This window comes from Homo sapiens, chromosome 4 (genome assembly GCF_000001405.40).
Source record: "Homo sapiens chromosome 4, GRCh38.p14 Primary Assembly".
Lineage (NCBI taxonomy): Eukaryota > Metazoa > Chordata > Mammalia > Primates > Hominidae > Homo > Homo sapiens.
The window spans coordinates 33,881,118-33,907,188 of NC_000004.12; the positions used below are offsets into that span (position 1 = coordinate 33,881,118).

Sequence of the window (26,071 nt, forward strand, 5' to 3'; positions counted from 1 at the left end):
GCAAGGCTACCTTCCATACAACCTTGCTCACACTATGTTAATTGTGCTCACCTGGATTTTGACAATAATGTACCACCTCCTAGTCTCTATTTCTGGAGGATCTTCTCATACACATTGCTATCAGGAAGGCTAGTTCTCTAATACAATTTCTTACCTTCAGCCCTGGCCTAAAGAAGAGAGTCACATATGAGATTCTCAGTGATGCTGATGTCATTCTCAACAGCATATTCTTTATTGCTTTGGTAAAATTGTCCTCCAACTCCTCCAGGGAAAATATTTTTTTGGCCTATTTTCCAACATTACATAGCATATGCAATCTGGCATCCCACTTCTCTGAGTCTTTTGTTCCTTTTTTTAACTTTCTGCCACAGTAGTTCTGGCATCTTCAATTCACTTATTTTAGCCCATAAAATTTTCCACGATTCTAGGAACCATGTAAATACTATGTTTTTTCATTTCCCAAGGTTCTTGCCAGGCCATTAAATTTTGAGTTCCAGAAAAGAAAAGGAAAAGTTCTCACACTGATAAACTCTCCCTTTCCCAAACTCATCTTCAACCCCCTTGCACTGCCTGTTTAATTCAGCGTCATCAGAAAATAACCCCAAATGTCTTGCACTCCTGGCTTCTGCTGATAGAGGTAAGCAATATATTGTGCTTTTTTCATGGTATAGTACGTTTCCTTCCTTTTTCTCTTAGTTTCAGCACTTCCCTGAGTGACTTAACCTTAGATATGTGTGTAAAGGATAGAGGCGAGATAGAAACAGTTTGTTGGGGCAGGGCCACCTTTTGTCCTGCATCATCTTCAACTAAGGGAATATACCCAGATCTTAGTAGATATGGGTAGGCTACTTCTGCAGTATTAGGAGAATCTGGAGAGGGTTCAAAATTTTTAAGTTTGTCAACTCAGGTGTTCCAATCACATGTCACAGGATCTCATTCTTTCATAATTAAGATTCTGACCTTTACATATCAGAGCTGCCCAAGAGCTTTAACATGCTTGTGACTAAATCTTGGGGCTCTGTTTTCTCAGCCTGCTAACTGTGGGAGATAAGTCCCTTTAGATGTGGCCGAGTAGATCCTCTGGCTTCCACAGTAAATTTTTAGTTAATTTATTAGCCTTTCATTGTATTTATCTAGAGCATAAAGTGCTCTGAGCTTAAAAAAATCCAGTTCCATTTGATTTACAATTACTCTCTCACCATATTTGTATCTATCTTACACTGTACTTGCCAATACAATTTATTTCACCAGTATAATATCTCAGTTCTTGTTTGATGAATATTTTAACAACTGCATTGCTCTCTTATGTCTAAGGATGTGGTCATCATTGCTCATCAGCTGGAGAACGATCCCATTGTGAAAATCCATTATACCATCCTCTTTCAGGGTTTCTTGGTTGCTGGGGAAAGTTTCTCCACTAACTACCTTTATTCAGACTATATATTCCAGAATTCTGTTTAAGAAAACAGCTTCGGGAGGTAGAGATATAGTTAGTCTTCCTCTTGAGCTAAGGATGGGTGGTCAACTGTCCAATGTAATAAACATAATGTCTTCCTGTGGCAAAGCTTAGGCAAGCTAATCATCCATTATAAATTTGGTATACCCCAAGTTTGAGATCTTTTCCTATGATTCACTTCACCGTGAGCACAATATATCACGGGGGCATTCATTGTATAGCCCTGTGGGAATTGAGCTCAGGAAGCAAACACAAAATGTTGATAACTGGCTACTGTTATTGCTCTGAGAAAGAAACTGCCCTTTGTGTCTGCCAACTCATCTTATGTCTTCTGACAATGTCCATAAAACTTTGGCAGGCTAAATTGCTGGCTTGTCTGTGGGATAAAAATCACAGAACCTCCACAGTTCTAAACACTGGAAACAACTGTTAAGATTCAGGCTCCTCAGACTGAACTTTAGTTCAGACTCTGAGATCGTCAGTGTTCTTTACTGTCTATAAATGACATTTTCAACAAATTATCACATCTGATTTCCATGGAAAAGTACATATGAATTTTAAACTGTTTGCTCTATTTAAATTAAATAGAAAGTATTATTTTCTTTCCATTTGAGTATTATTACTTAGAGTGTAGTCTTTCACTCATTTGCTTTTGTCATATTTAAAACTCATAGAAACAGACATTTATAGGATACTCAAATTACAAGTCTGCTTTCATGTCTAGATTTTTGCCTGGCAACACTGTACACAACATCAACCCTCCTTTCCTCCTTCCTTGCTTTCCTCCTTTTCCTCCCTCTCTCCCTCCCTTTCTCCCTCCCTCCCTTCCTTCTTTCCTTCCTTCCTTCTTTTTCCTTTCATTCTCTCTCCATAAAAATAAATCAACTTTTTAATACTTCTGTTAAAGCTATAATGATTTAATAAATATCAAAAGGATTCTGTAATATTAATGGCACTTTAAAAATCTCTCCCTTAATAGTCAATTTTAAAGTTGATAATGAATGCATTTGTTAAAGATAAAATTATGGGTTTGTGAGAGTCAGATGAATACAATGGGAAAAATCTGTTTTGCAATTATGACAGAAGGCAAAAGCATTAAAGATTAAGAGAGACATCTTTGGAAAAAAAAAATCACTGTGCTTAATTTAACTTGTATTATTAGGAAATAATTATCATACATATTATGCTTTTATTCTCTATATTATAAATGTAGATCAGAGAAATTTTTCAGCATCAGACACAAACATAATATTTTAATTCTAAAAACTTAGCAATATAGTTTTACAAAAAATAAAGTACATTGTATTCATCTATTTCATTAGAAATTGAATTTCTGAGCTCAAATACCTCAAGTTCCAAGAAGCACTGTGACAAAAACTATTGAATACATCAAATATCCAAGAAATTGTTATTAATGCTGACATTATTTATACAAACTATGATTTCTTCACTCTTACGCTGAAGATTTAAATATACGTATCACCACTAATGCTAAATGAGTTGTAGTATTTGCCAGCTAGTGTCACAACTTCCACATTAGTCAGTAAAAGTTTATACAATTAATTATAGTTTCATATTAGAATATTGACATGTGAATTTTTTAAACTTATACTTTATTACTCTTTAATTTAGCATGAGGCCAACATTTTTAAAAATGCTATAGTAGATTTAATCAGTTAATTTGTGTTGCATTGCTATTTCTTCTAACTAGCTAAGAATGTTTTACTGTTCTTTAGCTAAGTTTATATAGACTCTTGGACAACATTTCCAGGTTGCTGCTGGTCGAGCACCCTTTCACAGTTCAAGGTTAGTTAGTGTGTATCATTTTTTTCCAATAGGATTTTACTATAATTTCATATTTACTTGAAAATAATAAAATGCAGGAGTTGAGTCATGTTCTTAGCAACATCCATATCTTTTTACATAATGTAAATTTCCAAATAACTGTAATTTACCTTCTTTTTGATATAGGGATAATATTAACCATTTTAAAGAAAAATAGAGCTCAGTTATAACTGCATCATCCATCCACCACACTAGACAGAAAAAAATTTCAAACTTAACAACAAAACATAACACAATTTTGTTGGGAATATATTCAGATTATGCATTAAAGCCAACATTGAAGATCAAGACATTTTATTTTCCCCTTTCTGCAGTTTACTAACTTATTTTAAGATAATTTTACTAACAGTACTTCACTATTCTTAGGGCATATCATGAGAAATAAGCAGAATATAAGGTGCTAGGTTCAATAATATTTCACCTCAGTGGAGGAAATGATGATTTTCAACTGTGATAGAGGGAAGCAGCTGGTCCTAGCCCTAAGAACAGCAGCCTCCTAACAGAAAAAGCTAAGGCAAAAATTTTCATAAGAAAGTACAAACAACAAAAACAGACTGTAGTCACTTTCTTTCCTCCTATTTGGTGATCATTCAGTCCACGGAATTTGTCATGACTGGCACTGTCTGGGCTAGCAATGGCATCTACAAGAGCCATCATAATAGCATGCAAACCTTGCAATGCTGTCATTGTTTCTAAGGAAATGCAAATACATGGATCCTCATGAATTTCTAAGAATGAGGGCTGCTTATAAAGTAGCTCTCAAGTGAGGCATTTGCTTTTAATTTTTAATGCCTGTAACAACCATGACTATGAAATGGATGTAAAAACAGGTGAAAACTAGAAATAAAAGACTGTAGTATAGATTTTTACAAAATATTTGGCTTTTTTTTTTTGACAAAGTCTCGCTCTGTTGCCGTCTGGAGTGCAGTGTGGCATGATCTTGGCTCACTGCAACCTCCGCCTCCTGGATTCAAGCGATTCTACTGCCTCAGCTTCCTAAGTAGCTGGGATTACAAGCAGGCACCACCATTCCCAGTTAATTTTTTGTATTTTTAGTAGAGATGGGGTTTCACTATGTTGTGTCCTTTTCTTTCAATCTATTTTGTTAAATTAAAGCTTCTTCAATCTTCTTCCCCCTGTCCCTGACAATTCCTGCAGTAGTGCAAGGAAGAGAGTTCTTTAAGTTAGAGAGTTCTTTAAAGCATAAGCAAGGAGGGATACAGTGACCCAAAATAATAACACTCTAAGTATATTCATTAATTCACTTTTAATTTATCATCTAATTGTGAGCAAGTTGGCATACATTTTCTATTCAATGGAATTGTTACAATAGGTAGCTAGTCAGGCATGAGCAGGGCATGAGAGGGCTTCCCCTAGCCTTGTACCAGGAATGCCAGGCAACCATCAGGTGATGGTCAGGGAGTTGTTAACTGCCTTTCTAAAATAATAATTGGTAGCAGCTGGCACCAGGGAAAAGCAGTCTCCCAATGGACAGAAAAATTCTGAAGCTGATCAGCAGTTTCCTGATAAGATCTCAGGAGTTGGGCTAGTGGGCTCAAGCATGCCCATTGAGAGGCAAAGTGTATGACATCTCAGAGACATTTAACTGGTAAGGGAAGAATGACTCAAGTGAGCATGCGTGCAACTCCAGTAAACACACTGTGCATGCACCCCTCCCACATGCTAGGAGTCCAAGCTCATGCACACAGCCTACCCCAAGGGAAGAATCAGGGAATAAGGCATGCAAGATCCTGCAAGCATGCCAACATACAAAAACCCAAGTCAGGGCCGGGCATGGTGGCTCACACCTATAATCCCAGCACTTTGGGAGGCTGAGGCGGGCGGATTACGAGGTCAAGAGATGGAAACCATCCTGGCCAACAGGGTGAAACCCTGTCTCTACTAAAAATACAAAAGTTAGGGGGGCTTCGTGATGGGCGCCTGTAATCCCAGCTGTTCAGGAGGCTGACGCAGGAGAATTGCTTGAACCCAGGAGGCGGAGGTTGCACGTTTGCAGTGAGCTGAGATCGCGTCACTGAACTCCAGTCTGGTGACAGAGAGAGACTCCCTCAAAAAAAAAAAAAAAAAAAAAAATTCAAGTCGGAAGGTCAAATTGCACACTTGATCTCCCAAGTTGCCCACTTGGCCCTCTTCCAGCTGTTCTTTCATTACTTCTGGTCCTGCTCTAAAGCTTTTTAATAAACTGTCATTCCTGTTCTAAAACTTGCCTTCTGCTTTATTCCCCTCAGTCAAAATTTTCCTTCTGAGGAGGCAAGAATTGAGGTTGCTGCAGACCCGTACAGCTTCAGTAGCAGAATACTACACATAGAAAAATCCCAAAACTATTTATAAGACCTAGACATGACATTTTTACTCTTTTTACCTCAGTTTCATCTTCTCCAAAATAAAAGGCTTCATCTAGATGATTATCTAAAACATCTGCTTATCTAAAACATCTGCTTATCTAAAATAGAAAATAATTCAAGTAAATTTCCCTGTACAAAAAGAATTAAAATAATAATCTACTCTAAATTTGAAACTATTCTTATTGTATACACACATTCACTTATCTTCCATTCCATTTTGCAGGTATGACAACAATTAATAATAACCAAAATGTATTGCATGTTTGCCTTGTTTCAACTATTGTTCTGAACACATTACATGTTTGATTTTGTAATTCTCACAATAGCCCTATGAGGCAAATATGATGATGATGATGATGGAATTTTACAAATGAGGAAGAGAAAGTTCTGTTTGCTCAAGGTCAAACAACTAGTGAATATAAATAAAATATTTAGCAACTTTATTCTGTAATAAACTCATAATTCTACATCTTGTCAAGACTGATCAAACAAAGGCAAGCATCTCACTGTTTGCATTTCTATTATCATTACCAGAGTCCATTCTTTTAGAGATTTCCTTTGTCAAAGTTAAGGGTAAGAGACAAAATAAAACATAAGAAAGGAAAAGTCAGAAGAAAAAGGGGAGACAGTTTTGTCATTAAAAATAAAATAAAATTCATATATGGATGCCAAACAACGATGTCAAACAATATAGTTTTTAATAGAATGAATATAGTTTTAAATATAACAAGCTTCCAAAGGTCTGGCAATTAGAAATCATTAGTGGTTTTGGTGTGAGAAGGTTCACTAGTGTAGCTGATAGGAAAGGACACTGAAATTAATTGACTAGCAAATACAAGGGGAAAGAACATGGGAAAATCTAATGTTTCTTTAAGATATTAATAAAGAGAAGTGAGATCGTATATCAGGGGTAATTGTAAAGCATTTGGCTGGTTTAGTTTTTCTTAAGATGTAGATGTCTTGACCCAACATGTAGTTCAAAAAGAAAGTTGCTAACCTGGAAGAAAACTTTAAGATAGACAGTTTTGAACAAATACAAAGAAAGTGTTTTGGAGGCAGAAAATCAGTTTATTTTCTCAGAATCATTAAAAATACAAAAGAAGATCAAAAAAAAGGGAATGAGGAAATATAAAGCTGACTAAGAAGGAAGCTCACAATCAAGTGTTCCTGCAGGAAGTAGACTGAGTCAGCTGCTGAAGATGAAATTAAGATGGGGTAGAGGAGTGGCATATTAATTTGTACGTTCTCCTTGTTCACACACAGAAGAAATGTGTTTCTTAAGCCTTTTATTTCAGATACATGTACTTAAATTTCCCACTTTTGTATGAGGACTGATGTTATAAAGCAAAATATTGATGGATATATTTATAACACAGTATGGGTTAGAACATTATTTAATCATGAAAATCAGTGACCTGAGTAGTAACAAAGTTGAGAGCAAAATACTAAAGAAATGAAAAGAAAAAAAAGATACATCCTCAGAATGATACTAGTCAAGAAATTCAAAGCTGGGTAAATTGATTAAAGCATTTAATGATTGCTTATTTAGCAATGTAGCAGTTCTATAAGGAAAAAAGAAAGAAAAGAAAAGAAAAAAAATCTGGCCCAGGTGCAGTGGCTCACGCTTGTAATCTCAGCACTTTGGGAGTCTGAGGCAGGCAGATCATCTGAGGTCAGGAGTTCGAAGCCAGCCTGGCTAACATGGTGAAACCCTGTTTCTACTAAAAATACAAAAAATTAGCCAGGAGTGGTGGTGGCGCGGGCCAATCCCAGCTACTCTGGAAGCTGAGGCAGGAGAATCACTTGAACCCAGGAGGGGGAGGTTGCAGTGAGCCGAAGTCATGTCATTGCACTCCAGCTTGGGCAAGAAGAGCAAAACTCCGTCACAAAAAAAAAAAAAAAAAAATGCTGCAGGAGGTAGGTTTATAGAGAGAAAACATTAACTTAACTGCTCATTAATATGCTGCAACAGAGAAGTTACTTTGTGAGGAAACTGGAAGTTACAAAATGAATAAGACAATAACTTTGCCCTCAAGTGGACTGCAATTTGTATCAATTTACTTATTTATTTATATTTTATCCCGGAGCAAATTAACATTATTGATAATACTATTAAAATTAAGACAGATTTTAATATAAGTTTTTTTCCCCCACTTAAATCGCAGGAGAAAGGGCTTAAGACCCTGAAAAAAAAAATTTATAGGAAAATTTCCCCAAAAGGTAAGCACAATAAAAAGTCAAAAGGAGGTACGGGCTGAAGAATGACTTCCTGCAATGTGTAATTTCAAGGTCAGTCTGCAGTACATTTTCTGGATGATGTAAACTTGCACCTTAAAGAGGAGTAGAATTTGAACATACAGACACAGGATAAATATTTTAAGTTGAAAAAATGTTATGCAGAAAATTATAGTTATAAGAAAGTATTAGGCTCATGTAGCCAAATTTACAGAATTCTATCATGCTGAAGGACAGGATGTGAGAAAGTAACTCAATGCCGGAATGAAAGATGGGTTAAAGAGTTTAGACATTATTTAGAGTATGGATTTCAATGGATTTCTTTTTCAACCAAGAATGAATGCTACATGAGACCTGTGTATCAAGTGTTATCCCCTTTTGGGTGTTTTCCCTGGTCTTTCTTTCTTCAAGGTAAACTTAAGTTAAATTTTTAGGTTTATTTTAGCAGTATATACTTCTATCTATCATAACATTTACCCATGATACTATAATTATCTGTTTGCCTACGAGATTCTACCACTGCTAAAAAGCAAAGATTAATCTTTACTTATCTCTAATTTCCAAGTATTGTGTGCAGCACTCAGTATATTGCAGAATTCAATATATTTTAATTAAATTGAGAATCTATCTATATATAAGATGATTATTAAAAACAACAGAAGTGTGAAAGAATTGGGGTGAGAAGAAAAAGTTTCATCCCTAGATGGTGACTTTTACTATTCTCTAGTCTACCAGTGTGGACAGTGGTAGCTGAAGTGAGCCAGGAAAATACTCATGCAGGAAAGAAATAAGGATGACCAAATTCAGATATAAAGAAGTTGAAAAGAGAGTGACTTGGTCAGGATAGTTTGCTATACAAATTAAAAAAAAAAAAAGATGGTTAAGATGAAATTCTCTGGGTAACATGGCAAGTAATAACTTCTGTAATCAACTTTAGAACACAAGTTTAGTGTATTTATTGTCCAAAATGTGATCTCAGCATGTACAGCATGTGCCAGCCATTAAAAAGAAAGGCAAAAAATTGTATTATTATTGTTGATAGTGTAGTTCCTTTCAAACACTCAAAATTTCTCCTAATTTCAATTATTATGTATCATATAAGCCTGTTATTTTTTATTATGATAAAAAATGCATTACTTTAACTTTACCGTCTTAACCATTTTTAAGTATACAGTTTAGTAGTAATGATATTCACATTGCTGTGCAACAGAGCTGTAGAACTACGTATCTTGCAAAACTGAAACTATACCCATTAAACACTCATTCACCTTTCCCTCTTCTCTCAGGCCTTGGCAACCACCTTTCTACTTTCCAATTCTATAATTTTTAACCACTTTAGATACTTCATGTAAGTGAAAGCATACAGTATTGTTCTTTTGTGACTGGCTTAGTTCACTTAGCATAATGTCCTTGAGGTTTATTTTTGTGGCAGCCTGTGCTTCTTTTGAAGTCTGCGAGATTCTCCATTGTATGTATATACCACATTTTCTTTATCCAGTCATTGGTCAATGAACATTTTGGTTGCTTTTACCTCTCGGCTATTGTGAATAATGCTGCAAGAACATGGATCTTCAAATATGACTTCAAGATTCTGCTCTGAATTCTTTTTGATATAGACACAAAAGTCGGATTGCTCGGTCATATTGTTAATACCATTTTAATTTTTTGTGGAACCTCCATTCTGTTTCCCTTAATGGCTGTATCATTTTACATTCCCATCAGTGGTGCTCATGGGTTCCAATTTCTCTGTATCCTTGCTAATACTTGCTACATTCTGTTACTTTGATAATGGCCCTCCTAAGTAAGGTGTGTGAGATGACATTTCATTGTGTTTTTGATTTGCATTTATCTTATGATTCATGATATTAACCACATTTTTATATGCTTGGTGACTATTTGTAGATCTTCTTTGGAGAATAACATATTCAAGTCTTTTGCCCAATTTTAAAACTGGATAGCTTATGACATTTTTATCTAAGAAAAAATTGGCAGTTGTGCCAAAGGCCGATTCTCATGGGGAATGAAGTCACTTTCTGAAAGGAAGTTTGTAGAGCATATGCGGCAGCTGTTCCCTCCTCTTGCTACCTCACTCTCTATAAATTCAAAAGGCATCTAGAATTTCTGCAGCAAATTTTTTGAAGGATAGCTAAGACTTTTGAAGGACTGGTTATGAACGAGCCACAAAAGTGTCTTGTGAATGTTCAAATTATCCTAGTCTTACCTTCAGACTCGGGCAAACTGCTATATAAAATTAACTTGTTTTTCTGTTTTTTTGTTTTTGCTTTTTGTTTTGTTTTGTTTTGAGATGGAGTCTCACTCTGTTGCCCAGGCTGGCGTGCAGTGGCGAGATCTCAGCTCACTGCAACCTCCGCCTCCTGGGTTCAAGGAATTCTCCTGCCTCAGCCTCCTGAGTAGCTGGGATTACAGGCACGCACCACCACGCCTGGCTAATTTTTGCATTTTTAGTAGAGATAGGGTTTCACCATGTTGGTCAGACTGGTCTCGAACTTCTGACCTCGTGATCCACCCACCTCAGCCTTCCAAAGTGCTGGGATTACAGGCATGAACTACCGCGCCGGGCCTTTTCTGTTTATTTTAATGTAAAACATGCAAAATGCATTCTAACAGCCACCTCTGCCATTGGCAATTATTACTTCAATTGTATTTCAAAATATCAAACCTATAAATATACCATTAGAAATGAAGAATCTTACATGACTGTTCCCTGAAGCTTTTCTTCGGTAGTACATTATTGTCAGAAAATACATAAGGTCTGAATCTTGACATTTGAAGGATCAGTAATTGTTGCTATCAAAATCAGGTTATGACCCAGGACAGCCACAGCCAGAGAACACTCACATAATAGCATCATAAGGCTCAATGTCACAATGATCTGGGAAGGGCAACTAGCCATAGGCACTGCTATTTGGTTCAGAGAAGCACCAATTAATTCGACTGCTCTCTGATCCACTTGAAGAACTCAGCTGGAAATCAAACAAAGCCAACCTAAAAAAAAACGTCTAACACTAGAGGTATGTTGTGTGTTCTTTCAAGTAGACTATATTTTAGACTCTAGAACTGAGGGTCATAACTCCTGTATCTCTCTCTTTTCATAGAATTAGAGTTTGTCAAAGGTGTTAAAAATAAAATGAGTGTGAATGTCCTACAAGGTTTATGAGAAAGTTCAGAAGGAAAGTAAAGAAAGACTAAGCAGCAAGACTTTTAGGTAAGAGTAATAATAACAACAATATGAAAAATGAAAGCTTTCATCCTCATCCTCATTGGTTCTCACTCTTCCTCTTGGAAATCAAATTTGCATGTGACTTACATTTTAATAAGAATGGCTGTTAAAAAAATTCACATTCATATTTTGAGTAAAAAGATTGGTGGAATTAAAAACTAATTTAAAAACTGATTTTTGAATATTTAACAAAATCCTAAGAATCTCTCCATTTCCTAAATGCCTTTCAAAGATAATGCCATATATATGACCCCTCTCTCATGCTATTAGAAACGTACATATGGCAATGTCACACATTAACAGTTGTACCCTAAGGCCACTTCCTAGAAATTAAATTATTTTCCTCATCAGACACAATGTTGTGTTTCTTCCAAACTCCAAGTGATTCCTGAGAGTAGGATAAAGTTCTACAGTGTTGCTGGTCTTCTAGAAGCTCGGGTATTTCTACTCTGTAGCACGGACAGGAAATCCAAACACAAAGAAAGAAGAATGGTATTGTGATCTCACTGAGTTTGGGAAACAGATTATAGTTGAGGGAAGCTGAGGTGGCTAGAATTTGCAGATCACAGTACCAACCAACTGAAGTGAAGCTGGGAACATGTTTCAGAAATCTGCATGAAGTAAACTTGAGTCTTCTGTTGAATACTAGGCTGAGCATTGGGAAGGAGAATTTCCACAAGGCCAGACAATGAAGACCTATGAGGAGCTATAACCAAAGAAATACCTGAAGGTCACAAAGGGTTGGTAGACATTTTAGTTCCAACTAAGCAGACTGGGGGAAACATATTGAAAATCAACGCAGATTCAATAGAACCTGCAGAAAATTTATATCTTCAGAGTAAAGCTAAACTAACCAAAAAGGAAAATCTATGTCTTCCAAACAAACATCAAAAACAAGAGTTTGAAAGGCTGAAGCTGATCCACAGGTAACTTAACTGGCTGTCAAAACAAAAATCAACACATTTTAAAGGACGATTATACCATCCAGGCATTCAATAGCTAACATTCACCAAGTCCAGCTCTCAATAAATTAGAAAAAGATATATAGAAAACCTCAAGTATTTAGAAATTTAGCAACATATCTTGAATAACTCACTCATAATGAAATGCCTCACCAAATAAGCAGTATAGTGAACTTTTCTTAGTGTGATGAAGGGAAACAATTAAAAACCTACAGCTAACATATACATAATTGAATGACATAACACTTTCCCCCTGTGATTATGAAAAAGTCTACTATAATCCCTTTCACAACCTCAATTCAACATTAGAGAAGATGCCACAGCACACACAATAAGGGGGAAAAAAATACAAGGCATAAATCTTAGAAAGAACGAGAAAATCCCTCTGTTAATTCACAAAAAAAAAAACAGGATCATGGTTACAGGTTAGGTTTCCTAAGAAGCAGATCCTTAGATGGATTTTAGTATGCAGAAACTTTTTTGAGGAAACAGCTCTCAAATCAATATCTATGAAGGGGAGTTCCAGGAAATAGCACTGGGTTGGAGGATAAACCATCCTGAGATTAAAAAATCAAGAAAGACTTAAGTAAACCCATGGGATCTGCAGAGTTAAAATGCCATTTTATTAGTTATGACGAGGTGGTCAAACTTTTATACTGCCCCAGGAAGAAGTTTACCTTTAAGCAAATTGGACTGACTTCAGCTGAGGCAATGCCTGAAAGAACTTGCCTGACTTGGCCAACTGACTGCCAAGAGCATTCCTAACACCTAGGTAGGAAGTCTTTCATTGAAGAATTCTATGGCAGCAATACACAGTGTCCACAGATTAAGTATAGAACATCCAAAATGATGTATAGAAAAAGATTACTAGAACTATTGAACATGAGCTTAGCTAAGTCAAGTGATACATGATTTATATATAGCCATCAACTGTTTTGCTATATACTAGCAATGAACAATTTAGAAAGTAAAATGTAAAATATAATCCAAAATGCTATTTAGAATTAGGAAACATTTAGGTATTTATTTAAAAAAGTGTATGTAAAATACCTACACAGAAAGCTATACATTTTTTGCTAGAAACCGATAAAGAACTACTAAATGTAGAAATATATCATGTACACAGATGGAAAATCTCAATAATATTTTCAGTTTTTTTTTTCCAGATGATCTATAGATTCAATGCAACCCCAGTCAAAATCCAGGCAGACTTTATTTTTCTTTTACATTTGACAAATGATTCTAAAATTTGTACAGCAAAGGAAACAATATAAAATAGCCAAAGCACTTCTGGAAAAACAAATGGGAAGACTGGCGTTGCCTGATTTAAACACTTAGCCTAAGACTAGAGTAATCAAGAGAGTTAGGTCTTGGCATAAGAAGATACATGTAGATAGATTAAATGTATAGAGTTCAGAAAAAGATACACATATATATGGTAGTTGATTATTTTTTAGCAAAAATACTAGCATAAAAATGGAGAAATGATCATCAACTTTACAAGTAATGCTGTAAATACTGGATGTATTTGTGGGGAAAATTAATCTCAACCTTTACCTCATAATATATAAGTTGAAATGAATTATAGACCTAAACACAAAGGCAAAAACTGTAAAATTTCTAGGTGAAATTATAAGAGAAAATCTTTTTGTCCTTTAGTTTGGTAAACATCTCTTAGGTGGAAGACAACAAATAAAAACCTAAAATAACACCTCGTCAAGTTAGACATCAACAAAATTTAAAACTTCTGTTTTGTAAAAGACTCCGTGGACACAGAAAAAAAAAAAAAAAGACAAGCCAGAGACTGGGAGAAATTATTTTCAACATATGTATATTACATTGTACTTATATTCAGATTATATAAATAACTTCAACTCAATAATAAGAAGACAATGCAACATTTGTAAATGTGCAAACAACTTGAATAAATACTTCACAATAGAAGATTTTCAAATGTCCAACAAGCATATGAAAACATGCTTAGTAATATATGCCATCAGGAAAATATAAATAAAAACCACAATGAGATACAAGTATACACCAAACAGATTGATCTGGGTGTCCAAATTGAGAGTAAGTATATTTAAAAATTTAGAGTACCTTGTACACTGACAAAGTAATTTTATGTTGACTGAATCTAATATTAACAAAATAGAACTTGTTTCTTTCATGTCTTTGTGGGTATTTTCCACTTATATTTAATAATTTATTTTCATTGTAATTCAGAAAAGTATAAATTTCTGAGAGTTTAGAAATTTTTTAAGTGGTCCCTTACCACAGATATTTTCAGAAACCTTGTTCTAAGGAATTGAAATAAGGTACTTAGCCCACACAGTACACTAGCAAGATGACCCAGCAGTAATAGCCGGGAAGCTAAAGAAATGTACTCTGTGTAGACCTGGCTCAGTATTTAACATCCCAATCCCCATTGGATTTCCAATGAAGACCGAAACCACAAACTATTGCTTTAACTATCATGTTGTTCCCCCATCCGTATGTTAATACACTTTGTGCACATCATGACAGGTGAAAAGACTGCATAAAATGTGTATATCTAATTCCCTGTGAGAGGAAGTTTAGAAACAGAAAATATGGCTAACCTTTGCATGATGCAAATATGAAGACCAAATTTCATCCTGATATTCCAGATGGCCACAACTTTACAAAGCTTAATACACAGTCCTTTTTTTTCCTTATAAACTGCTAAAATAGTATACTTGTTGCTTAGCTTTAAAATGCATAATGTCTGCTTTGTGTGCTGTGATAACAGGACTTTAATAACTGAACAAAGAGCAACATAAACCAAAATAATGCATTAATTATAAAGTGTGGACTTTTTAGCCAAAAAGGACTGTGAATTTAGAATCTGTACGCTTGTTTCATTTCAATGCAAAGCCAAAATAAGTCTACTTGTTGGACTATAGTTTCATTTACTAGATGTTTTTTAGTGAAGGAACAGCACCAATTTTACACAGACATACACAATTTGACTGCAGTGTGCTCTGCTAGCATATGTTAGACTTAATGGAGTATGTGATAAATGTTATTTATATATTTTTCTTTTTATTGAATGTAGAGTAAAATAGCACAGAAAACCAATGAGACATAGAGAATTATTTTATCCCCAACTGATTTTATTAAATGATCAATAATGATTAGACAAAATGAAGTCTAATAATTATATAGAATAAATAAGTTCACATAAGAATTTCGCCTTTAAATTTTCTTTGCAGCCTAAATTCTTAGCACAGAAAGATGTGAAAGACAATGTATTTTTTTTCATGTCTAGCAGAGACTCATCAGATTTAGGAGATTATGTTTATAGAGCTATCTTGAAAACTTTCCCACTATCATGGAAAACTTAAATCTATATTAAAAAACTTTTGTAAGCCTTGCTTTGCAAATAGAATCTGGAAAGGAAATAAATCTGTAAAAACTTTGTGATTCTTTCCCCTACATCCCCCCAGCACGAAAGAAATTTCACCTGTCAGTGCAGTAGTAAAAATTTTTTTGAAGAGTCAGACATATGGGCTAACTTTAAAATAGAGTTTTTGTTCTTCTATGTTAGTGACTATTTTCCCTATAAAGCATTAGTTGCAGAATCTAGTATTCCTTGCAAATATTCGACTGAAAATTCATACCTATTAGCAAAAACCAGAATTACTTTTGGAGCAACCTAATATAAAGTGGTAAAATATTTATATGAAATTAAACTTTCTGGAAAAAATCTAAATCAATGTATGTGGGTAAAGTGTTAGTTTTCTGCACGTATTTGTTAATACTACTTTGCAATGGGGGCTGTATTTGGCCAACATATTGTTGTATTAATCTTTTGAATAATAAATCTATCTATGAAGCATTAAAATTTATCTTTCTTGATTACAGAATTTTGGGTTTCCTTCATTAAGATATCATGCAACACTAAAGTATTGAATTAAATCTGTAACTCAAATATCTTTGCTTGTTTACACACAATATTTTACTCTGTGGAAGATTCCAGTGTAATGTTAATAATCAGCCACCATGCTTCCCTTGTCACCCCTATTCTCTTCTATAAAAAAAATCATATTATTTGCTACACAGAATTGTTGACAGAATTAAATGATCTTGAAAAGCACTGTTCATAATAAATGCTGCATAAGTGTTTGTTTGTATTATTATTATGTCACCTTTCAGGCCATAAAGGAAATTCTTGGATTAATTATATTCCTATTCAGTCTTTATAAAATTGTCAAGCTCTTTTTTTTAAGTTTCCATAAATCTTGAATCCATGTTTTAGTTCTCTGAACTATTGTGGCTTCTTTGAAGGTGTCTTGCTAGTTTAGTCTCAGTTACCCTTGTTCTGTTTTTATTCCTCTGTTTTTACTATTTTGAGAGTTCTTAGTGAAAAAACTCCTTATATTCATGTACAGTAATTCACTTTCTTGAACAATTACATATAGAATAAAATCTGCTGTAGTTTGAATGTTTTTGTCTTCCTTAAAATTCATGTGTCAGAAAGTTAATTCCTAATGCAACAGCATTAGAATTTGTGGCCTAAGGATAAGAGTTCAGGTCACAAGGGCTCTGACCTCATGAATGGAATAATGCCATTATAAAATGGGCTTGTGGCTGGATGCAGTGGGTCATGTCTATAATCCAAGCTCTTTGGGAGACCCAGGCAGGTGGATAGGCTGAGCCTGGGAGTTCGAGACCAGCCTGGCTGACATAGCAAAAGCCAGTCTCTAGCAAAAACAAACAAACAAACAAATTAGACATTTTTTGGTAGTCATCGCTTGTAGTTCCAGTTATTTGGGAGGCTGAGGTGGGAGGATCACTTGAGCAGGGAAGTGGAGGTCGCAGGGAGAAGAGATTGTGCCACTGCACTCCAACCTCTAGGGTGACAGAGTGAGACCTTGTCTCAAAAACAAACAAACAGAGCAAAAATTGGCTTGCAAGAGTGGATTCATTGATCTTTCACTTCTTCCATGTGAGGAACAGTATTCCTGTATCCTGGAGAAGGCAGCACTCGAGCCACCATCTTGGAAGTGAAGATCAGGCCCTCAGCAGACACAAAACCTGCCAGTGCCATGATCTTGGATTTTTCAACCTGCAGGACTGTAAGACATACATTTTTATTATTTATACATTACTCATGCTAAGGTATTCTGTTATAGCTGCATAAAAAAGAATAAGACAGAATAAGACAGAAGCTGTGTGGGCCTGCATGAGAACTTCAATTAACTGTCCATTCTCTAAACAAAACAAAGAAATTGGAGATATGCAGACAGACAGACAGACACACACACACACACACACACACACACACACAAAACCCTGGTCATATTTCTAATTCAATTTAATACACAATTATTAAATAAGTGTTACATCCTAGAAACATATGTTGGTAATACACTTTCTAGAACAATTGCATATAGATTACTATAAGCAAAGTATTCAAGTTCTCATAAGGTACATGCACATGGTACACGAGAACTTGAATACTTTGCTTATAGTTGTGTAGGTCTTAGTTTCCCCTTCTATAGGTAACTGGATGGTAAAAGTAGCACCTATCTTATGAAATACCTCTGAAAAGTAAATGAGGGAATGGGTATGATAAACATAGAACCTGGGTCACATATAACAAATATTACAACGTATTATAAAGATATGAAGATAGTGTTGCCCTCAGGCAGTTGAGTGTTAAGAGAGAGATGGATATTAAACATTTAAAAATTTATCACTAAAGTGAAGCAAGAATCTTATACACTCATAGCTAGTCAGGAAAACAATTCTAAAAAAACTTGAAGACAGAATTTGCTTATCCTCTGAACTTAGCTTACATCAAGCTATTTCATAAGTGGATTAAAATACCAAAATTGCAAATCTATCAATCATAAAAGCTTAACACGTCACTAGTCATGGTTACTAAAAATTAAAGATGTATGAATAAAATGTTCCTATTTTAAGGAACACACAAGTCAAAACAACTTAAACATGTTTCAATATTAAGCTAAAATTACTTTTTGTTATCCTTGTACACTTAGCTTACTTTATCAAAAATAATCTTCACATTACTAAAAACAGAATTAATACATATATTTTTAAAATGTTTACAGAAGTGTCACCATTCAGTAATTATTGCTGCATATATTAAAAGTGTAGTTTGTATAAGTTGTTGTTAAATTCATTCAACATTCATTAAATAGTTGGGTAATTCACATATCCTTGATACTGAGGATAAAATAATAAAAATGCAGACTAGATCTTTTAGCCCACTGAGTTTATAGTTCAGTTGGCAGAAGAATAAAAGGAGCAAACAATAAAGTGATTTGTGCTGAGGACCACGAAAGAAGTGCATAGGCTGATACGATATTTACTAGTGTGAGTTTAAAAGGTATAATCCAAGAAACCATCTCAGAAAGTGACAGATGAGCTGAGGTGTCAACAATAAGGGAGATCTAGCTGTACACAGATTTAGGAGTTGCCTGTAGTAAGCAGAGCGAACACAAGAGCCAAATTTGGGGGCAGGAATAAGATTGACATGCTCTGAGAACCAAAAGGATTAAAACACTTACTTGTATTGTTGAAAATTAGAGAACAACAGATAATGGATGCTGCAGGAAAAAAAAAAAGTAGAAACCATGTCTGCTAGAACTTCATAGGCTATGTTGGGAGTATGAATTTTATCTGATGAGTAATGAGAAGATATTGGAATCCCCTAAATGAAAAATTCCACTAAAAGTATATAAATTAGTAATCATGCATTCTTATACATTAATCAACCAAATATGTAGTATTTAACTCTCAAACACAGAGGAAATTTGATTATCAACATAACTGTAATGAGGCATATTTTGTTATATTGTAGCAAAAAGATATTACAGGTTTACCTTCTATTACTTGATACTACAGCAACAATATTGAATGCTGAAGCCTTGCAGAGAGGCAAACAACAACCCTGAGATACTCAGTTTAAATACAATATTGTGTTGGGTTATGGGGCAGAAGTAAGGCATTAACTATCATCCTTTACAAAGATCAATATTACTCTATTTGTTTGTCTGCTTTTTACTACTAACTCTTTATTCTTATTTATATTTTTGTTTTTGAGAGAGGGTCTCACTCTACCATCCAGGCTAGAGTGACATGGTATGACCAACACTTTAAGTGATCAAAGACTAAACACATTTAGTTCAAAATGGAGACTAGGTAATTTTGCCAGTTACATGAAACAATGGGCAGAACTTTCAATTAATTTTTAAACCAACAAAAAAGCTTCCATATTTTATTATCACTTGCGGAAATAACAGGTTATTTTCTGGTTGAAAAGTATCTCTAATCCAACCCTCTATCTGATGCTACCATTAATATGGGCATACAAAAGTAATTCATATACTTTGCAGCTTTTATTTCCAAATTCTATGTGATGGCTTAATGCTTAATTTCAACAAATAAATATTTCAACATATTCATATATATACACATGAACTTATTTCTACATACGTTTAAAAGTTTAACTTGTAATTTATTTTGATCATATGTTAACAATTTCTTTTTTTCTTATAATAATCTAAGCATCAAGGAGACTTAACATTTTGGATTTCTCCTAAAACAAGAAATTGTCATGCTGAAAGTTCTGTACTCTCTACAACCATTTCCTTTAGGATAAATGACACAAATGTTTAAAAGGAAGTTAATTAAAAAACTAATTATATTTTTATTAATACAAATCAAATGAAGTAAAATTGAGTTTGTGATTTTCTCATTACCGTATTCTAATCTGCTAAGTTTATCAATCTAGAAAGATTAATGATAATAAAATAGCTAATATTTACTGAATGTGTCAAAGAATAATTTATTTTAGTTAAAAATATGACATACAAATATAGCACGAACATGGATCGAATATTTATTCAACTTATTAGTGGGAAAACCATTAGGAAAGTAAAACTTCTTAAAAGTACAATTCAAAGAAAAGAGGATTATATAGTCAGTCTTAAAAGGCGTGCTGAATAAGTTTGCTAAATTAGAAACAATACTGGCTAACATCTTAAAGGGTAATAAACCATGATCTTTGAAGGTTATACTATTAATTAAGCATAAGTCACTTACATCATTACTGGACAAAAACCAAAAACTAACATCTAACTTAACAGATTTTGAACCTTAATAAATGGTAAGTATAAATTCAAACAAACGTGCATTCTGTGGCCTCTAAACTAAAGGGAAGAAAATAATCCTTTGTTGGAGACTGTTAGACAATGCTGCAATAAGCACTGAAAGGGCATGCAGTCTTTTTTTCATCTACTTACAAGTTTGAAATAATTTTCTTAAAATGACTTTATGCTATGCACGCATTCTCCAAGTTCCTTTAATGTATGCACTCATTGAATTGTTGCTGCAATCTTATATGGTAGGTGCTATTGTTCCACCCTCATTTTTTGAGAAAAGGAAGCTGAGGAACAGAGGTTGGGTATTTCAAATAAAATCATATTATCTGGTGCTCTAAGAGCACCCTCCCACCTTGTATTATATATCTTTATGGTTTAAATATATAGCAGCATGACATTCCTCACAGTTTAAACATATAGCAGCATGACATTTAGTAAATATTCTGGGTTTCTTACTATATCTCTTCTTTATAGAGAGTTTGAGTAAGATACTACCCTTGAATGTTTTATAAATGCTAACACATGCATACAGTGAGAGACTTCCTTTCTCTTGTCTATTTGCTTTAACTATTGCATCATTCTGATGAGAGTTATAATTAATAATTTATTAAAGAAACAGACATTAGTTAAGTAATTAGGATGTAACAGGCACAGTAGTTAGAATCTTCACTAAATGAGTTAATAGAGAATGTATGTCAAGAAAAAGAAAAAATAATCATAATTCCAGAAGGAATTTCTAAGGTGAAAGAAAGACCAATAAACAAAGGAAAGAAAACATGTATGTAAATATAAATAAATACTAAGTGATGAAATATCGACTCCATGTCTTTAATCCTCTCTTCCATATCATGGTAATTTTTAGATATAGGGATATAAAAATAAGCTATCATTAAACACGAAGTTATGAATAGTTATGAAAAACTACATAGAGGTGCTCTGATTTAAAGTGGTGTAAGAAATTGCATTGCACCTCAAGAGGGTAAAACTTCTTATTTATTTCTTACATAAAGTAAATTGTACCTTTTAAATAAAAAAAGAGGGCATAACCTTCCAAATACTACATGAGTAATGTTATTTTTAAAAATAATCATTAGAAGGAAGGAAAACAATATTCAAAAGAAGGCATAAGTATTTTGAAAATGTGGTTTCAAATTTAATCACAATACATGGAAATATACGCAACTTGTTCTATCATATAGTAATTTTTTTAACTTGAGAAAGAAGAATAAATTATAAATATAAGCTGTCTACAAAAAGAGTTTTAACACATGCATAGTCAGATAGTTTGATAGTAAAATAAGAAGAAATAATATATGAGGTAAAGAATAGCCCCCAAGAAATTGGTGTAGTTAAACTAATGTTCTACAAAGTTAAAAATCATTATTAGGATACAGTGGGTAATTATGCAACAATTAAAATTTAAATCATTAATGATACCATTAAAAAGTAAAAATTCACATGCCTTTGCATACACAGTCTCAAAATATATAAAGATATCTATAAAGACAAATTGATTAATTATTAATCTTATATGATATATAATTTTATTGTATCCACATATATTATACATTATAATTAATACAATGCTTCTTGGAAACATGAAAGACCAAGAAGACCTAATGTTGGTAAAGTCGTAGAAGAGCTGAGCATGTATAAAAATTGATATCCAACAATTAGAAAATACATATTCCTCTAAGGTAAACATGTAACATTTTAACAATTGATAGTAGAGTCCACAAACAAGTCACAATAAATAACAACATAAAAAACAGAACATGTCTTCTGACAATATTCAACTAAATTAGGATTTATTTTTTAATTAAAATGTCTCTATTTGTGCAATTTTAGTTTTGAATGCTTCTGAATGAGTTTAAGAATAAGGAAGTTTTGCTAGTTGGAGGTACTAATAAATGGGGTCAAACTTTCCCAAAAATTCAACCACTATTCACCAAGACTGACCAAATTCTGGGCCATAAAACACACTGTAATAAATTTAAAGAACAGAAGTCTTACAATGTGCCCTCAGAAAACAATGGATTTAGCCTATAAATCAATAACAGAAAGACAACTGGAAAACCCAAAAATAAATGTGGATTTAAAAACACACTTCTAAATAACACATTGGTCAAAGAAGAAATCACAGGAGAGATAAAAAATGTTTTAAACTAAATGAAAATGAGAACACAATTTGTTAAAATTATTGGGATGAGTGAAGGTAGTGCAGTGACAATTCAACACATGAAATTTATACCATGGACATATACATCAGAAAAAAAGAAGTGTCTAAAATGAATATGCTAAGTTTACACTTAGGAAACAAAAAAAGAGCAGCAAATTAAGTCCAAAATAAGCAGAAGAAAATACATAATAAGAATTAGAGCAGAAATCAATGAAATTGAAAAAGGAAATCAATGGAGAAAATCAAGAAAACCAAAAACTGGTTATCTAAAATGATCAATAAATTTAATAAGCCTTCAGCCAGGCTAATAAAGAAAAAAAGGGAGAAGACACAATTTACAATACCAGAAATTAAAGAGGGGACATCATTTCAGATCTTATGGACATCAAGAGGATATTAAGTCTACGTATACAAATTTGGTAACCTAGGCGACAAAAGATAGATACCAAAACATACAGTTGAAAAAGTAGACAATTCAAATAAGCCTATATCTATTTTTAAAAGTTGAATCAATAACTAATAAACTTCTAAAACAGAAAGCAGTAGCCCCACATGAGTTCACTAGTAAATTCTACCAATGTTTAAGGAAAAAATTATACCAATTCTACACAATGCCTTTCAGAGGATGGAAGCAGAGAGAAGATTTTCTAATTCACTTTATAAGGTTAGCATTACCCTAGTATGAAAATTATAAAAATACATTGCCAGGAAAAAAAAAACCTATAAGCCAACATGTCTCATGAATATAGATACAGAAGTGCTAAACAAAATAACAAACTAAATTCAATAATACATCAAAATAATTATACACCACAACCAAGTGGGATTTTTTTTTAAGATATGCAAGGCTAGTTCAACGTTTGAAAATAAATGAATGCAATCCATCATATCAATATGCTAAAAAATAAAAATCATATCAATCGATGCTGAGTAAGTACTTTACAAAACCCAATACCCATTTATGATAAAAACTCTCAGTAAACTCGGAATAGAGTGTAACTTTCTCAACTTGATAAATAATATTTACAAAAAACCTACAGCTAACATCATACTTAATGGGGAGGAATTTGAAGCTTTCCCACTAAGATAAAAGCAAGGCTGTCTCCTCTCACTACTTATTTTCAACATCATATTGGAGGTACTAGCTTATGCAGTAAGACAAGAAAAGGGAATAATAGGTATGCAGATTGCAAAGGACAAAATAAAACTGTCTTTTTTCACAGCAGACATGATCACATATGCAGAAAATTCAAAAGAATTGATTTAAGAAAAGCTTTGGGAACCAATAAGCAATTATAGCATGGTTGCAGGATACAAGGTTAATATATTATACAAAAGTCAATCACTTTTCTATGTATTAGCAATGAACAAGTGAAATTTGAACCAAAAAACACAAAACCACTTACACTAGCATTCCCAATAATGAAATATTTATATATGAATCTAGAAGTATATGTACAAGATTATTATGAGGGTAAGTAAAAAACTCCCATGAAAGAAATAAAAAAACTAAATAAATATAGAAACATTTTATATTCATATGTAGAAAGACTCAATATTGACACAATGTCACTTCTTTCCAACTTGGTTGTAGATTCAATGAAATTCCAATGAAAATCTCAAGTTATTATGTGAATATTGAAAAACGAACCCTAAAGTTTATATGGAGAGCCAAAAAATGCAAAAGAGCCAGCACATATTGAAAGAGAAGAACAAAGTCAGAAGATTGACACTACCTGACTTCAAGACTTATGATAAAGCTTCAGTAATAAAGACAGTGTGGTATGGACAAACTAATAGAAATACAGATCAATGGAACAGAACAGAGAACCCAGAAATAGATTCACATAAATATATTGTCAACTGACCTTTGACAAATAAGAAAAAGCAATACAGTAGAGCAAAAATAGCCTTTTCACTAAACAAATGAACATCCACATTCAAAAAAAAAAAATGAATCTAGATGGAGACTTACATGCTTCACAAAAATTAACTCAAAATGAATAATAAACCTAAATGTAAAACACAAAACAATAAAAATCCTAGAAATAACATGGAAGAAAATCTAGATAACCGTGGGGATGAAGATGAGTTTTTAGATACAGCATCATCGGTATAATCCACGAAAGAAAAAATAGATAAACTGGACTTCAATGAAATTAAAATTTCTGTTCTGCATAAGACAATGTCTAGATAACAAGAAAACAAGGCACAGACTGGGAAGGCATATTTGGAAAAGACACATATGATAGAGGACAGTTATCTAAAATATATCATGCACCCTTAAAGTTCAACAATAATCAAACAATCTGACTGACAAATGGGCTGAAGACCTTAAGAGACACTTTACTTAAAGAAGATTATACAGATGGGAAATAAGCAATGACAAGATGGTCCACATCATATGTCATCAGAAAAATGTAAATTAAAACCATGAGATACTACAGTGCATCTGTTAAAATGGCCCAAATCTGGAAAACTGACAACATCAAATGCTCATGAAGCTGTGGAGGAAAAAGGGCTCTTATTCATTGTTGCTGAAAGCAAAATGTTACAGCTACTTTGAAAGACAGTTGGGTAGTTTCTTACAAAACTAAACATACTCATTATATGACATAACAATTGCACTCTTTGGTATTTAACCAAAGGAGTTGAAAATTTTATCTTCATAAAAACCTCTATGTAGAGTTTTGTAGCAGCTTTATTTATAATTGTCAAAACTTGGAAGCAACCAAAATGTCCTTCAGTGGGCGAATGAAAAAAAAAAGAACTGTGGGATATTGAGGCAATGGAATATTATTCAGTGCTAAAAAGAAATAAGCCATTAAGTCATGAAAAGACACAGGTTAACTTTAAATGCATATGACTAAGCAAAAGAAGACAATACCAAAAGACTATATGCTGAACGATTCCTGTATGATACTACAATTAACACAAGCCATTATTTATCTGTCCAAACCCATAGAATGTACAACATAAGAGTGAACTGTAATGTTGGGACCAGGTGTGACAGCTCATGCCTCAGAAGTCGAGGGTTCAGTGTGCTGTGATTGCACCAATGCACTCCAGCTTAGGTGACACAGTGAGACTCTGTCTCAGAAAAAAAAAAAAAAAAAGTGTACCGTAATGTAAACTATGGGCTTTGGGTTATTATCATGTGTCAATGTAGGTTCATCAATTGTAACAAATGTACCACTCCGGTGGAGGATGTTGATAATGAGGGAGGTTATGCATGTGTGGAAGCAAGGGAGATACGGAAAATCTCTGTCAACTCCTCTTAATATTTCTGTGAACCTATAACTTCTTTAAAAAAAATAAAGTTCTTGAAAAAGTCAACTGATAAAAAGACTAATTAATAATCATTAATTTTAGCAACATGGAAATCTTTGTTTACATTTACAGCCACAACTTTCTTTGAAAAGGAGCAATAACAATTTAATAAGGACTACATTAAAGACAGTTTAGTAAAAGAATCTGGAGCAGGTAAATAGAGACAAGTGTCTGAGAAAGCCGCAAAACAAAGCAGTAGTTGAAGAGAAAGAGGGGTCAAGAGCAGAAATTTTTCAAACAAAAAAATAGCTTTTTTGCTGGTAAGAAATATCAAGTACAGATAACATGTAAACATTTAGGGGAG

General features: G+C 33.6%; 2 long non-coding RNA genes across 4 annotated transcripts in view; one reads left to right on the top strand and one right to left on the bottom strand.

The window, feature by feature from the left end:
- The first annotated feature begins 518 nt into the window (after nt 1-518).
- LOC105374392 (uncharacterized) lies at nt 519-25,560 on the top strand. Of its 3 annotated transcripts, XR_925181.3 has the most exons (5): nt 519-637; nt 7,833-7,956; nt 11,019-11,128; nt 17,086-17,204; nt 24,032-25,560. It is a non-coding gene; the product is annotated as an uncharacterized LOC105374392 (long non-coding RNA). The 3 variants fall into 3 exon arrangements; XR_925180.3 differs by lacking the exons at nt 519-637; nt 7,833-7,956 and adding an exon at nt 10,730-10,934 and having other exon boundaries at nt 24,032-24,266; XR_925182.3 differs by lacking the exons at nt 519-637; nt 7,833-7,956; nt 11,019-11,128 and adding an exon at nt 10,727-10,934 and having other exon boundaries at nt 24,032-24,266.
- LOC101928622 (uncharacterized) overlaps nt 15,222-26,071 on the bottom strand; it is a 143,555-nt gene continuing 132,705 nt past the window's right edge. Inside the window, exon 5 of the long non-coding RNA NR_125902.1 lies at nt 15,222-17,202. This is a non-coding gene — a long non-coding RNA (uncharacterized LOC101928622). The remainder of the gene's footprint in view (nt 17,203-26,071) is intronic.